The 15,083-nt window shown below is 49.2% G+C and overlaps 1 protein-coding gene across 4 annotated transcripts in view, besides 1 other annotated feature; it reads left to right on the top strand.

Moving 5' to 3' along the window:
- Window positions 1-15,083, top strand: part of CHST11 (carbohydrate sulfotransferase 11) — a 305,067-nt gene that overhangs the window by 265,063 nt on the left and 24,921 nt on the right. The window lies entirely within an intron of this gene.
- Window positions 1,089-1,707: an enhancer, noted in NCBI's record as "H3K27ac-H3K4me1 hESC enhancer chr12:105116877-105117495 (GRCh37/hg19 assembly coordinates)". NCBI's record gives its function as "activates a minimal SCP1, AML or CMV promoter by ChIP-STARR-seq in primed H9 embryonic stem cells {active_cell/tissue: H9 hESC(primed)}" and the evidence as "EXISTENCE:reporter gene assay evidence [ECO:0000049][PMID:30033119]".

Raw genomic sequence — 15,083 nt, forward strand, 5'->3', positions numbered from 1 at the left:
CAGGGTCTTGCTCTGTCACCCAAGCTGGCGTGCAGTGATGCAGTCATAGCTCACTGCAGCCTGGACCTCCCAGGCTCAAACCATCCGCTCCCCTCAGTCCCTGGAGTAGCTGGGACTACTGGCGCATACTACCACACTCAGCTAAGTGTGTGTGTGTGTGTGTGTGTGTGTGTGTGTGTATGAGATTTTACCATTGTTGCCTGGGCTGGTCTTGAATTCCTGGGCTAAGCCATCTGCCCGCCTTAGCCTCCCAAAGTGCTGGAATTACAGATGCGAGCCACTGTGCCTGGCCAATTTGGTGTGTTTTTAACTTCATCAGAGGTAAAAGTTTTCATAATCCATCATATTTCTCTTTATACCTTGGCTACTGGGAAGCACAAACTAAGTGTGATGCCCAAACTCAGCACTGCCCTAACCGTGGTTTTTAGTATATTTTGTATATTGACTGAACTGCAGTACTTAGATGAGGTAGATTGGTTTTCTGAAACACAGTGTAAGTGCCTCTGTAAAGTGGATGAATTGTGCCTTTGCAGACGTTCAAAAATGGTGAGGATGAGTTTTATTTCTAACACGTCATCGTTTCTGCTTGTGGAAGAGGACGGGCTATGGTGGACGTAGCCTGGCACCTGTTCCTTCCTGTGATCTGGTTCTCTCTTCCAGCCTTGCTGTCTGGAGTCGTTGCTGGAAAGAGTGTCCAAAGAAAACAAGGCCCCATCCCCCTGCAGGTCATCTTTCTGTTTCCTGCTGATACCTGGGGGGAGGTGAGGGGAGACTTTCTCAAAGGCCCTGGCAGTGAAACATCATCAAAGTGAGCCAAGACCTTTGTGAGGCTGAGATGGGGATCACACCTTTCCAGAACGCTCATAAGTGTCACTTCCTAAGGATTTCAAACCTGCACAGACAAACCCACGTGTCCTACGGGAAGGCTGCTCTGTGTCTAGGGGAAGGCTAATGACTTTCTTGGCCTTTGTCCCTCAGTTCTCAGGGGGGTGGTGCTGGCGTGCCCTGTCAGACCCACTTACCCCAGACAGGAGCCTGACATGCCTGGCTGAGTCCTGCCTCAGGACTGAGGCCCTGTGGCTCAGTTTTTTGATCTGTGGTGTGAGCGTAGTATCACCTCCCCTGGGAGTCATGATAGCAGTCAGCAGTATTAACAACAATGACAACAACGGCAGCTGGGCCCCTCAAGGACTGTATTTAATACTCACGATATCCCTAATACAGCTGTGAGCCCTTTGTTTTAACTCATTCCTGTCTTAAAATCGCTGATGAGAAAACAGAGAGGCTGCCGACTTGCCCGGGATCACACAGCAAGTACACACACAACATAGTCAGGACAGCCTGGCGGGCGGGGTGGGCGTCTGGGGGGCCGTGGGTCTGCCCCAGGCCTCTGCCTGCACCACCCCTAACCCTGAAGGCTTGTTCAATCTGTGGCCTGCAGTGAAGTGAGAATTTGCGCTCCCCTTTCCCGACACTCACTCCGATAAATCACTCCCTGTTTTAGTTTTATTGTTAGAGCGAGAATGAAACCTCCATGGAGTGCCCCATATATCTGCCTCTGGCTTCTTTATAGGGTCTTTGGCATAGAGAGACATGCCCCTGGGAGGTGGTAAGAGTTGGGTTAGCCAAGAGGTGGTGCCCAAATTAGACTCTGGGGTGAGGGGCTGCCTTGCTCACCCTGGCCAGGTACCCCTAATTACTGTGACCCTAAGTGGCCCTCCCTGGAAAGGGGCTCTGTCGTATCACTTTAGTGCCCAGAAGACCGAGCGATTGGACTGGGTGTTTTCTGACCTCTTCTCAGAGAAAAACAGTTCCTATATAAAACGAATTCTGTTCAGTGTTTAGAAAGGAATGAAATTTTGACACAAGCTATGTGGATGAGCCTTGAGGGTTCATACTGGGGAAGTAGGAGAAAGACATTTCACAGACATGGTGGTAAGTGTATATGTATATAATTGAACATATAAGGCATTACAGGCAATTATGTAAATTTGAGTTGAAGGAGAGCTATTAGAGGTTTATAGGGAGAGTGTGATATGATCTGACATTTTAAAATAATCACTTTAGCTGCTCTGTTGAAAATAGATTATAGGGAAAAGAGCAGTAGTGTGGTGAATAGTTAAAGGGCTACTGAAGTAGTCCTAAACAGAGAAAATAGTGGCCTTCAAGTGGTGAGAAGGGCATTATGTTAACTGAAAGAAGCCAGACACAGAAGGACAAATACTTTACCATGTATCTGACGGCACCCGGAGTAGTCAGGATGCCTCAGGAGGATGGCTACCAGGGGCTTGGGGGAGGGGAATGGGGAGTTCATGTTTGATGGGTACAGAGAATCCATAGGGAAAATGAAAAGGTTCTGGAGATCGGGGGTTGGTGATGGTTGCACAGCCATGGCAATGTGCTGAATGCCACTGAACTGGAAGGAGAAGATGGTACATTTTGTGTTGTGTATATTTCACCACCATTTTTTTTTAAAGGGGAGACTTCTGGGTGGTTTTCTGCCCATGTCGCTACCTAGGGAGCTCTTGCCATGTGGAAGCATTTGTTCACACAGGGTTAGGAGCAGCAGCCAGGGTCCCGGGAGGCAAAGAAACTTGTCCTCAGGCCTCCCCTCTGCACCTCTGAGGCTCACCGTGGGCTTTCTGGGCCGCTCCTTGCCCAGAACAGTTGCTGGAGGACTCCCTTAGTCTTTCCCTCCACCGGTGGAGCTGCCGCAGTTGCCTTACAGAGCATTTGAGATCGGCTGTGGTCAAATAATACACACGTTAGAGTAAGATGGACTGTTAAATACAAGAACACCCAGTTAATATTGAATTTCAGATAGACAATGAATAATTTTATAGTATATGTATATCCCATGTGATATAGGGACATACTCATACTAAAATGATCTGCAACTCCCATTTAACTAGTGTTCTGTATTTTCTTTGCTAAATCTGACAAGCCTGTGTGAGAGGCAACCCAGGAGTGGAATTCTCCCCAGTGTGTCTTGGTGCTTTAGGGCTGGAAGTGGGTGGTAGAGTGTCAGCCTTGCGAGCCCCAGTTCTGGTATGGACTCTTCTAAGCCCAGCGCCCCCATTTTGTAGCCACTTATCTTTGAGCACGTTCCCAGCTTTCTGACTCTCAATTTCCTTATCTGCACATGTGGATAATAATGGTTCCCTCCTCATGCAATGGCAGAGGATGAAATGACAGTAGCTGTGCTGTCGTTAGCATAGCAAGCGTTGTGTTCGTGTCAACACTTCAGGTTGTTTCTGTTTCTTTGCCTTCCTTTATGAATTAAAGATGACCATTTTCTAGATGAGCCTGAGGCCGTGGTGCCGAAACAAGAAAACAGCAGTGAAGACCTGGTTCTTCAGCCCAGCCTGGTCGTATGGGTTCATGACCTCGAGTGAGTCAGTTCACCTCTCTGGGTCTCAGTTTTCCCAGCTCTAAATTCAATTACACAGTTCTCAGGTTCCTTTCAAATTCAAAAGTGTACATGATACCTCAATAAAGCTGTTAATTTTTTTTTTTTTTTTTAATTCTGAGCCTGCCTCCCCTGTGTCTCCTCCCCGCCGTGGTTGTTTTCTCACCTAATACTTGCAATCGTGGGAAGTGGGTGTCACTTCTCCACTTAAATAAGTCTCAGGACTCAGAAAAGTTCTAAGCCCCTAACTCAGGGGCACATAGGTCTTGTGTGCTGGAGCCTAGCTTTCAACCCTGGACTTCCTATAGGCCAATTCTTATCACCCTTTACACACCAGGGATTGGTTTTCTTGGAGAGTGGGCAGTGGGTCTCACAGCCCCAGGTCAACCCACACAGGACGGATGGTCCGTGGGCAGGTTCATCACTCACCAGACTCAAGCAGGACAAGGTAGGGCAGTCACCATGGCTCCCAAGGGCCAGTAGGAGCAGTGTATGGATGATCTTTTCAGCTGCTTTGCCTCTGCCATCTTGATTAATCAAGATGTGGCCAGACCACACGGAGCTCTTCAGTCTTGACATCATCAATCCCTTTGTGTCCATCTCTTGAGCCAATGAAGCAGGATTGGCAAGAACAAGGCCTATGGTGAATAGGCCTGAGCCAAGCCTCTGTTGACAGAGGTCAGAGAAGACAACAGAGAGATAGCAGAAAGAAATATTGCATATTTCATAAGGAGTTCTAAGTGTCTCATCTAGAATCCTTAGTGAAATATGTAATCAGAGACTCTTTAATTCTTTGCTTTAGGCCTAGCTTCAAAGTTCAATGGTAATTTTTGTCCTTTTCATTTTCTGACAGACCTTGTCAAAATTGGGTGGTCTTGTAGGCCAGTGAAGTCCATATTTGTACATCCCCTGGTGCAGAGTCCACGCTTGAAGCAGACACTGGATCTGCCGTTGAGCATATTCAAAGAGAAAAACAAAGCAGCTGAATTAAAATGAAAAACTAAGGGGCTTGTAATTAAAAGGCTGTGGTGTAAACCAGAGGCCTGGAATTGGTACCTGGTACCGCAAACTAAAAATAGACTCTTTCCACAGAACAAGCAGGGAAATCCCAGTGATCATGGACCACTGGGAGGTGGACAGAGGAGGCAACATGCATCTTCCTCCCCTCCTCTCCCCCAAGACAGAGAAGCTCAACAACCCTGCTTCAGGATGGGGTTTTCTGGAAAGGGCCAGGCTGGTCTATAGGTGTAATGGGCTGGGAAAGGGTGTGCCAGGATTTGAGCGGCATCAAAACCTGCTGTAGGGCTGAGACATTAGAGTGTAATTCCTCAAAAATATCCCCGACATACACATTTTAACTGGGCTTAGATGTGGTTGTATATGTGATTAGATTACACTGCCTAAGGAACCCATAGCAAGATCTGATATATCTGAACAATCTCATCTATCTTACAGAATTCAGGGCCCTGAAAGGTAGGATGTAGGGCAGATAAATATTGGTGGATAGAGTAAGGAGGCTATTAGGGACATGCCTGGGACTGGTCACTATCATGACAAAGGATGATTATGCCCACCTGGCATTTTTGTCTGGTCCACCAAGCTGCCTTAGTTCACCAGTGTAATTGTGGATAAGTGGGTCTCTAGGGATCCAAAAGGAAACAGACATTTATTTGGCCATCCACCCCCACCCCAAATGATGGTGCACTCATGGCAATGGCAAATTACATTATTAGAACCTTCTAGAAGGGAATGGTTCTAATAATGTAATTTGCCAATTCCTGGAAGTCCCTAAGGTCTTGATTGGTTAAATTTTGTGTTGCACCCCTCAGGGGCCTACATTCAAGATCCTTCAGGGCCAAACCTTGCTCCCAGCTCATCCTATTCAGCCCTTGGAGGAGCAATAAATGTGTTAATCTAGCCAAGAATATACAGCAAGGCCAGGGAAGTTGGCCATCTGCTCAGGTGCTGAAGTTACACCAATGCAAACAGAAATTTACTCCTCAAATCCCAGCACAGACTGTGGCTATGGGGCCAGCAGGAAGGCTGATGGGAGTGGGCAGGCCCCAGGTAGCAGGGGTCTGGGGAGGCACATTCACCACACCTTGGAGCAGTGTTTTGGGTATTGGTAGAGTGGAGATGATAAGACTGGACCAACCAGTCCACCACCCAGCACATGGTAGGTGTTCCTACATGTTTACTGAATGAATGAGTTAATCAACTGATTTTATAATCGAGTATAGACAGCAGTCTACACTCAGAGCCCAAGTAGAAAATGCTTCATTCTCCAATCCCTTTCAGTCATTCAACAGGTGTTTATTAAGGCAGTGTTCTAGGTGCTGGAGACACAGCCATGAAAATGGCAAACGAGCTCCTTGAGCATAGGAAGCTTATGGACTAGTGGGAGGATAAGGAGACGGTTAGAGAACTGAGAACAGGGACCCTAAGCTACTCAGGAAAGTCCCTCCAAGGAAATGATATCTTAGCCAAGCCTGGCAAGCAAGTTAAAAATCAGGCAGGCACAGGGGAGAGAGACGTGGATCCAGGCGTGGATCCAGGCACAGCTGTGCCTTCCGGCATGTCTGGGGATAAAATCCAGTGTTGAAAGAGTTGATGCCCTCTGGACATAGCATGATGTTAAAAACAATGTCAGCAATAATAGTAATAATAATAATAGCTGCAATTTCTCATTCTCTACATCAGGAGAGTCTTCACTTCTTTCCCTTTCATGGGCTGCGGCTTTAATTGGGTAAGTGGTTCCTTTAGAAACAATTAGGGATTGTAATCAGTCGCCATTCAGAAGTCTTCAGCAGGAACTGATTGGCAGGTCTCTTCCGGCTTGACCTTAAAACTTCCCCATAGCTGTGACTAATGTAAAGCAAAGCCCGGAGGAGCATGATGGATTTCAGAAGAAAGGAAACAGAAATTTGGATGCGCCCACAGTCTGTGCACACACTTAGCACCCAGCATTTTGTGTTCTATGGAGAAACATCTGAAATGATCAGACCATCTTCAACTCCAAACTCTTCCTTAAAAAAAAACAAAAACTGAGTTGTTCTCTTTAAAAAGCAAGGGGTTGGAGGAGGAATTTCAGACAGGAGCCACCCATCTGTCTGAGGTTAGGATGAATTTCAGAGTTCCCAACTGTGTTTTACAGGTGCCCTGTGGAAGGTGCCAGCTCCTGTACTTCATTGGCCATGATGTGCTCTTGTCCCACTGGTTTGACTCAAGAAAACACTGGGGACCCTTGAAGTCCTGAACTGAGGGCCTTGATCCTCCTGAAGTCCCAACCCTACCCGGGAAGGCTTGCTCCCACCCTACCCTGCTGGGCCTCTGCCCTCCTGGGTCCCACCAGCTCTTAGACTCCTTGGAGGGCAGAGGGGAGAGGATAAAAAGAAGCCACTGAGAAAGGCAGACATGAGTGTGGAGATGGACAGAAAGGGGAAGCTCCAAGGTAGATGGCCAGTATCTTTCTTCCAGAATCAAGAGCCAGTTAGAGCAATGTCGTGCTGGTTAATTGTCAGATGGAAAAATGTGACTTACAAAACAGTATAATACCAATTAAAACATACCCCAAAAAGCTGGGAAAACATCAAAACAGGGATAATAATTACCTCTGGTTAATGGGAATTTAGGGGAATTTTATTTTCGTGTTATTGTTTTCCTCTAATTATTACCATTAGTTTCTGCAGTTGTTTTAAGGATAACAGCAAGCAGGAAACAAAAGAGACAGAAAAAACACAGAGGCCAAGATGAGCTGACAGAAGCAGACACATGGCCAGAATGACCAACAGACTAGGGGAGACTGACCTCCTGCCCCACATACTCTGTCCCCTTGAGCAAGCCTCTCTGTGACCTACAGCTTCCTCCCCTGTGAAATCGTGCTTCCTGTCCTGACCATCTTATCAGTTGTCCTGATGCTCAAGTGAGAAGACAGGGGACTTGGCAAATTGTGTAGAGGATGATTGTGAGCCAGTCATTAAGTACTGAGGATTCAAGCAGTGTTTCTCTGCAGACAGTTCACCCAAATGATTTGTGAAGAATGCAGATTCCTGTGCCCAGATTGGGTTTCTGGGAGCAGGGCCCAGGAATCTGCATTTTAACAAGCCCCTGCCCTCTGACTTTGAGATCCAGGCATTTCAGACAGACAGTATCAGGGCAGGAACATGGAAGGATGGCTGTCATAGGTGCCATGAGTGACAGAAGCAGCGTAAGGTCTAGCGTATTGTCTTCTCGCAACTTGAACCTTGCTGGAGAAGTGAGAAGTGGGTGTGCAGAATCGTACGGTGTGCAGACGGTGGCCTGGTGAAGTGCCGTGTACCTAGGAGTTGAGGGGGAGCTCGATGGCGCTGGGGCAGAGGTCTGCGGAGAGTAGGTTGGGTTTAGAAAAATGAAGAGGAGGAGCAGCACAGGCCATCTGGATGGGGGAGCCCCTGGTGAGCAAGGTCCACCAGGTGGGAGGGCAAGGCCTCCTCCTCTGGCCGTGCGTGTCTGGCTGCTGGTTGGTGTCGGGGTGGTTTTGCACTTTCTGTTTCCTGATCTCACCTGTCCCAGGACTTGGGGCTCTAAGTAGCATTACACTGGCTGGGCAGGTAGTCACCCTCATCCTCTGACCTGTCAGACTGGCTGGTGTCAGCTGACAGCGGAGCTACACTGAAAACAGAGACAGTACTGGGGCCTCCGTCTAGGGCCTTGTACTCACTGGTTTGCTTCCAGTCGACTCTGAAAGCTCCCTGCTGCTTCCTCCACCATTCCTTCACTCGTTCTGGAGGAACTACCCGACCTGGGTTGGCATCCTGCCTCTGCCACTCATTTACTGTGTGACCTGAGAGCAGTTAATTAACCTCTCTGTTCACACGGCCTCTTGTATGACATGGGAGAAGAGTGACTCTTGCCACAGAGGGTTGTCATAAGGATTGTCCCTGAGATAATCCACACAAAACCTTTGATGCAGGGCCTGACATTTAGCAAGGGCACAATAAATGTTAGCCACTGATACAGGTGTTCACCTGGCAACTGTTTACTGAACTCCTGCCATGCTAGGTGTGAGGGAGGGGCTAGAGGCACCAAGAGCTCATGATGGGCCCGGATGGGTATGAAATAGCCTCCTGTGACACAGTATGATGAAATGGTGTGTCTCGGATGCAGGTGGCACAAAGTGTGGCGTGGCTGGCCCAGCGACGGGCCCAGAGGAGGAGACACTTGGTTGGATCTTGAAAGGACAGAATGGGAAGGCGAGAGGACATTCCAGGTGGAGGGAATGGCATATGAAAAGTCCCAGTCCAGGATATAACATCCTCACTCCTTTATCCTCTGCTTTGGGAAGAAATGGGGAGAGGAGTGGCTTCTGCTCGTCCACACTGTTCATCTCTAGGAGTGGCCAGGTTGAATCCAAGGCCAACTTGGAGTGGACGGAAGGTGCAGCAGTTTCCCAGAAGGGCTCTACAAGGCTCCTGGGTTGCAGCTGCCAGAAAAGTCTGTTCCCCACAGCTCCCTGGTCCCAGCTGTGAGGTAGTTAACTGCAGCTGCCTCAATGTCAAAGCCAGGGAGAGGATGCCCATCTTACCTTCTGCCCTGGACTGCTGCAGCTGTCCTGCATCCTGAACATTTGCTGTCCGTGCTCCACTTACGAGCTGTCTTCCTCAGGCCAGTCCTGGCTGCCAGCTCCATTTCATCTTGTTTATCTGTGTGCCTTGACATTGGCTGTCTCCTGCATCCTTCCAAGCCAGAGAACCCAAATTGACCAGAACCCTCATCGGAGGGCTAACTTACTGTACACGACATGGCTTAGAGGCATGGAGGGTGAATGTATCTATCACCCAGACACGGCTGCCCCCGCCCTGGAAAACAAGGGCAGCCCGAACAGGGACACTCCCACCAGCAAACTAAACAGGCAGTTCAATCCGTAAGCAAACCAAAGCCGAAAGAAGTACACCAAAGAGATGTCATCCTCCTCCAGCCTGTGCAGCGAGGTGGCTGTCTATGCTGCTGAGACCTAAGAGAGTAAGTCCTGCTTGGGCTGGAAGTATGAAAACAGACCTGAAAGGCTTCTCCCGGTTTTATTTTGGGGGGATCAGAAGGAGAAGAGGGGAGAACCTGGTATCCCTGTTCTGAAAATGGGCTCGAGGGCTGTGGCTCTAAGGCCACATTTTGTAATAGGAGAGTAAGCAAACTGGGTGTAAACCCCCGCACCCCTGAGACTCGGGACCACGGACTCAGCCTCTGCGGGCCTCAGCGTTTCCATCTGTAAATTGGAGCTGAGCATGTCCACCTCTCAGGGTTGAAAGGATTCGGGGTATAATGTGTCCAGTTTCCAGCACCAAGTAAAGGTTTCCTATTTTTAGTTCCCTTCCTTCCCTGGCATAATGTCCATCCGTGTCATGATTCCAAAATGTAGTTTTGCACCAACGCAACTGCGGCCTCCTTCAAGGTGCATTTGTTTACTAAATACTGTTTAATCCCCAACGTACTGGGCATTGGGAATAGAGCTGTGAATGAGACAGATGAGCCTGCCCCAGGGGCTGGCAGCCCAGCAGATTGGCCTTTGGTGGCATTTTGGGGGAATCAGCAGTGATGGCAGAAAGTCCACCCCAACATCCTCCCCTCTGTCCTAGGGCAGGAGAAACTGCAACCAGCTCCACAGCTATGCTCGGTCCCTCCAGGGAAGAGGATTGCGCTGCTGGTGGTCAGTTTTATTTGGGTACACCTCAGCATCAGTGGCTCAGAAGCAGGAGGTGGCAGGTTATGGCCATGCCCTGTGGTGGCTGGGCCCCCTGGGGTTCGTGAGCTTTGCTGGCATGGACCTGGCTGTGCCAGGAGCCTGTCCTTCTGTTCGCCTATGTGCCATAAGCCAGACCCCAGCAAGGCTTCTCCCAAAGACGTGGGTGCCTCAGAAAGATGAAAGCAGTGATCCCTATTTCCCTAAGGGCCTCCCCAGCCTTTGACAGGGTCCTGGCAGAAAAGCTAGACTCAGTGGCTGGTTTTCGTAAGTTTTGACCCCAGGGACATTTATAGATGGCCTGAAAACTAAATCAATGGATTTTACTTACTTTTTAAAAATTCACCTTTCATCACATTAGAAATAGACCTTCTTGCCCTATCTCTGAGTCTCCTCACGTCTCTTCTCCCTTCCCCAACCCACCCTCTAAGGGTCTAAGGGTGAAGTAACAGGCGGGAGTGCCTGTCATGCACAGCACTAGGTAATAAAACACCTTTTGGGGCTTAGCCACCAAATGTCCCTCCTGTCCAAGTGTCCATATCCAAACCTGAGCTCAGTCAGGTATCCGATTGGTGTTGCTGTCACCGGGGCATTTGCCACACCCAGGTGCTCACATCATCTATTGATACCCCCAGTCTCCAGATTCTTTTTGGCATCCTCCTCCCCAGCTTCCTAATCACTGATGAGACCAGATGGCAAAACAAATGGGGACTGATTTTGCAGTGACATCGGAATTGGAAGCTTTCTTTCTGGAACTAAGTATTAAGTATTTTTTTTAAGCACTTATTTCCTTACATGTAGTTCACAAAGAGGGCGTCAGCCCTGTGCTTTGAACTTGACATGCATCGTCTCACTTAATCTTTGCTCCACACCCTTGTGTAGTAGGTATGACCAGCCCTATGAGAGATGGGGAAACTGAGGCCCAGACCAGTGAGGTGATGTGTGCAAGGTCACGCACTGGGATTCCACCCATGCACCTTGTCTCCAGGGTGTGTCCTCTTCCCACAATGCTGTTCTGCCACCGGGTTCTTTAACTGGAAGATGATGTAGATAAGACATATCTTGAATGTAGCTGTGGAGGGCATGAGGCCAGACTGTTTTTGCTAGATGCAAAATCTGGAGTCTAGCTTTCCAGATCCCACAGGGAAAAGACCTCAGAGTAGATCCAAGATTTCCCCATGGCATGGAAGAAAGAGGAAAGGGGACATTTATAAGGCCTTTGTGGGAGGCAGTAACACTGACTGTGGGTATCAGGAAAGGGCCTTGCCTGATTCTGGGGGCACCTTTAAACCCAGCAAGTTCCCCCGTGTTCAACCCTCCCTCCCAGGGCTGCATGATGGAACCCTTGAACCAGGATCAGTTGTTGGGAGTCGCAGCCAACACTTTGACACACACTGTGTTTCAGGCAGTCTTCTGAATGCTTTGCATATTCTGTGAGGTTGGTACTTCCATTAGGTGGGTGCAAAAGTAATTGTAGTTCTTGTCATCAAAAGTAATGGTAAAACTGCAATTACTTTTGCGCCAACCTAATACTATCCCTACCTTATAGATAAGGAAGTTAAGGCACAGAGAGGTGAAGTAACTTGCCTAAGATCACACATCATTAAGTAGGTGGCAGAACCAGATTCAACCCAGGGAGATTGGTTGGCTGCACTGATCTTATCTATACTGCCTCTGAGGAGGGGAACCCTGCTTTTGACGTTGTAAGGTAGGAGGAGTTGGGTGATGGGTCTGGTTTCTTTGAAAAGCCAGCGGGGGGCGCTTTGAGCCTTCTGATGATGCCATGATGGCTGCCATGCCCCCATGGCCCAGCCCTGGCAAAAGTGTGTGCCTGTGGGGGCTGCCCAGGAATGTGGGCTTATGCCTCCTCCCCGCCACCACCAGCAATCTCTGTAGCTTTTGGCTGGGCACTGCTCCTCCAAAGAAGGCAGCAGGGCTTCCCCTGCCAGGAGGGCCAGCTTCCGCCAGCAGAGCTGCTTATTGAGAGGTACCTGGTCAGCACTGGCGCCAGAGGGGCACAGGGAGGTGTTTGCTCAGGCCCAGCCCATGCTTCTCTGCAGAAGTGGACGTGCTTTTCTGTTTATTTTTCTTATTTAAAAATTTTAAATCCAACTATCTTGAAATAGTTGGAGGTACAGAGCTGCTTGAGGAAAATTCAGCCCCAAAATTCATCAGAAAGATGGTTGGCCTCAGGATCACAGGGGCACGATCCCTCCTGAAGGACCAGCAGTTCCGGGCCCTGTGTAGGCACAAGATGAATGTCATTCATTTAAATCTCACCCCGGGCCCGTTGTATAGTTGCAGAAACTGGGGCTCAGAGAGGTCAGCTTGCCCAAGGCTGTGCTGCTAACAAGGGCAGGGCTGGACCTTAAGATCCGGACCCAAATGCCTGCTGTTTCTCCCGCCCCTAGTTCTGAATACGGTCACAGGTGGAAAACGGGGTGGCCTGTGATATTCCAGTCCCATGTTTCTTACTTTGCCATGGGGAGGAATGAGGACCTGGGGTTATTGCCCTGTAGTTCATTCCACCCTTCACCCCATGGGATACCCAGTCAGCCACCAACAGCCTTTCCTGGTAGGCACTCAGGGAAGTGCCCCAGGGTGAGGAGGATTTGTGAGAACTGGCGCTCTGCCTCCTGGGAGCTTTATGGCAAAGTAACAGCAAGAGAACACAGACAAAAGACAGATAATATGGAGATCCAGAGGAGGAGGGTTTGGGATGCTTAGACAAGGGTGGGGCCTGCGTTTATCTGATAAATAACACAGTGATTCTGTATCATCATCGTGTTGTTTACGTGAACCCTGCCAGGCACCACATGCCCTCATCAGGGCAAACTGCAAAATTGCCAGGTTTGCTTCTGTTCTGCAAACATTTTTTGAGCTCCTGCTCTGGGGGCAGGCATGGTGCTCAACACAGGGGATTCCAGGATGAGCAAGGCAACAGTCCTGAACTTCAGGGAGCAGAGGTAGGGATCTATGGGTAAACAGACAGTTACAGTATGTTGTGAGAAGAGAGTAAGCTCCAGAGTCCAGTTACCTGGGTTCAAATCCTGGCTGCACCACCGGCTAGCTTTGTGACTTAAATGACCACCTCTCTGGGTTTCAGTTGCCTCATCTATAAAATGGAAATATAATACGTCTCTACCTTGTAGGAGTGATAGAAGGACTAAATGTGATTACACAAGAGCTTAGGACGATGCTTGGCACCTGGCACTCAAAATATATTAGCTCTTCTGGTGGTGCTGGTGGCTGTGCTGTGAATGATAACAGCAATAATGGTAAAAATAATAATACCACGTTCTATAAGAGAGATGAGCCTAGATCACTGGCGGAGCACCAGGAAAAGGGGATACCTGACTGATCCAAGCCTGGTGGTGGGGCTGGGTCATCCGAGACATCATCTTAGAGGAAGTGAGGAATATGGTGAGGTCTGAAAGCCCCACAGTTAGCGGGAAGAAGAGAGTGAGCAAATCCAGAGAGACTTGGGGGCAGGGGACTTGCTCCTGGGCAGGTCCCTTAGGTGCAAGAAAGCGCAGTACTTCTAGAGAAATCACAGGGGTCCAGTGCCCTGCATGGGACAGGGCTGCTGAGAGACAGAGCCTGAGGGGCTGGCAGGGGCCAGGATGCAGATGCTGGGTGCCAGGCTCAGGCATCTGCGCTTTCCATGGAAGGCAGTGGGGACTCGTCATGGGTTTAAAGCACAAGGACAGCAGAGTTAGAGCTGTGATCAGAGCCTCTGTTTTGGTCTGGAGGGGACCCAGGCTTGGAGCCCAGAAACTAGGGGATTGTCAGCAGCAGTCGAGGCTCAAGGGGATGTGGTTTGTACCAGGGTTGCCAGGATGCGGGGTTGTGGCCAGGCTGTGGGGAGTGGGTGCCTAGGTACCTGGCAGGGAACCTGGGCAGACAGCAGTGCCATTCCCTGAGATGGGACACAGGAAGAGGGCAGTGACCACTCTCAGACATTCCAAGTTGGAGGTTCCTGTGGGACATTCCATGGGCAATGTCCAACGGGAAGGTGAGAGCATGCTTCTCGCCTCTGGTATAAATCCTCCCTTCCCCAAAGTTCCCCCTGCAAGATACCATCCCTGTGCCTACAGAATCTGGGGAAAGAACATTCCATGGAGAAGGAACAGGACATTCACTGCCCTGCGTGTGGCATGTTCAGTGGAAGGAAAGGAAAGGAAGAAGAGAGAGAGAAGAGAAGAGAGAAGGAAGGTTGGGGAGGGCCATTTTGTAGAGGGTGATGATAAGAAAAAGACCAGTGACTCACAAGCTCATACAGAGAATGCCCAGCCTGGCCGAGCTGGAGATTTACCCAGAGGCATCCAGCAGAGTCCCATGTATTTCCAGATGTTTCTGGTTAGAAGTTCGTATAACTTTCAGAGAAAATGCCCTGCCCTCCTGGATTCTGGCCCAGTTTGAAGAGCACCCCAGGCTGACTGAGCGTAGCAAAGCCTCAGAGAGGCAGTGGTGGGCTGTTGGGCTGGGACCCACTGCACGTACAACTCGGGAAGCCCACCTGGCCCTCTGTGAGTCTGGCCTGTGAACTCTGATTTACCCGGAGTTGGCAGGGTTGGGGGTCTTAGAGTAGCCCTTTGAGAAGCTGGTTCAGTTCTGAACTCCATCCAGGTGTCCATGAAAGAGACTGCTTCGAGTCCCTTTCAGTCCCCCACACAGCGCTGTAGGTGTACTAGAAGTCATGTATAAACTGCCCTGAAAATCTGATTTTTGAAAGCATAGGAGAAATGCATCCTTCTGCTGCATAAAGCATCTTCATTGTGAGTCTTGATAGAAACCAAGTGTGGCTTCAGGGCTTAAGAAGGCCAAACCTCACCCTGTGACTTACACAACTGAGACCAGGAGTATCTATGAGAATAAAATGTGACTTTCCTTTAACACCATTTATAGATGATCTTTATGGGATATTCTGCCTCAGCAATTAGCTATGGGAATTTTAAA

The sequence above is a fragment of the Homo sapiens genome, chromosome 12 (assembly GCF_000001405.40).
Source record: "Homo sapiens chromosome 12, GRCh38.p14 Primary Assembly".
NCBI lineage: Eukaryota > Metazoa > Chordata > Mammalia > Primates > Hominidae > Homo > Homo sapiens.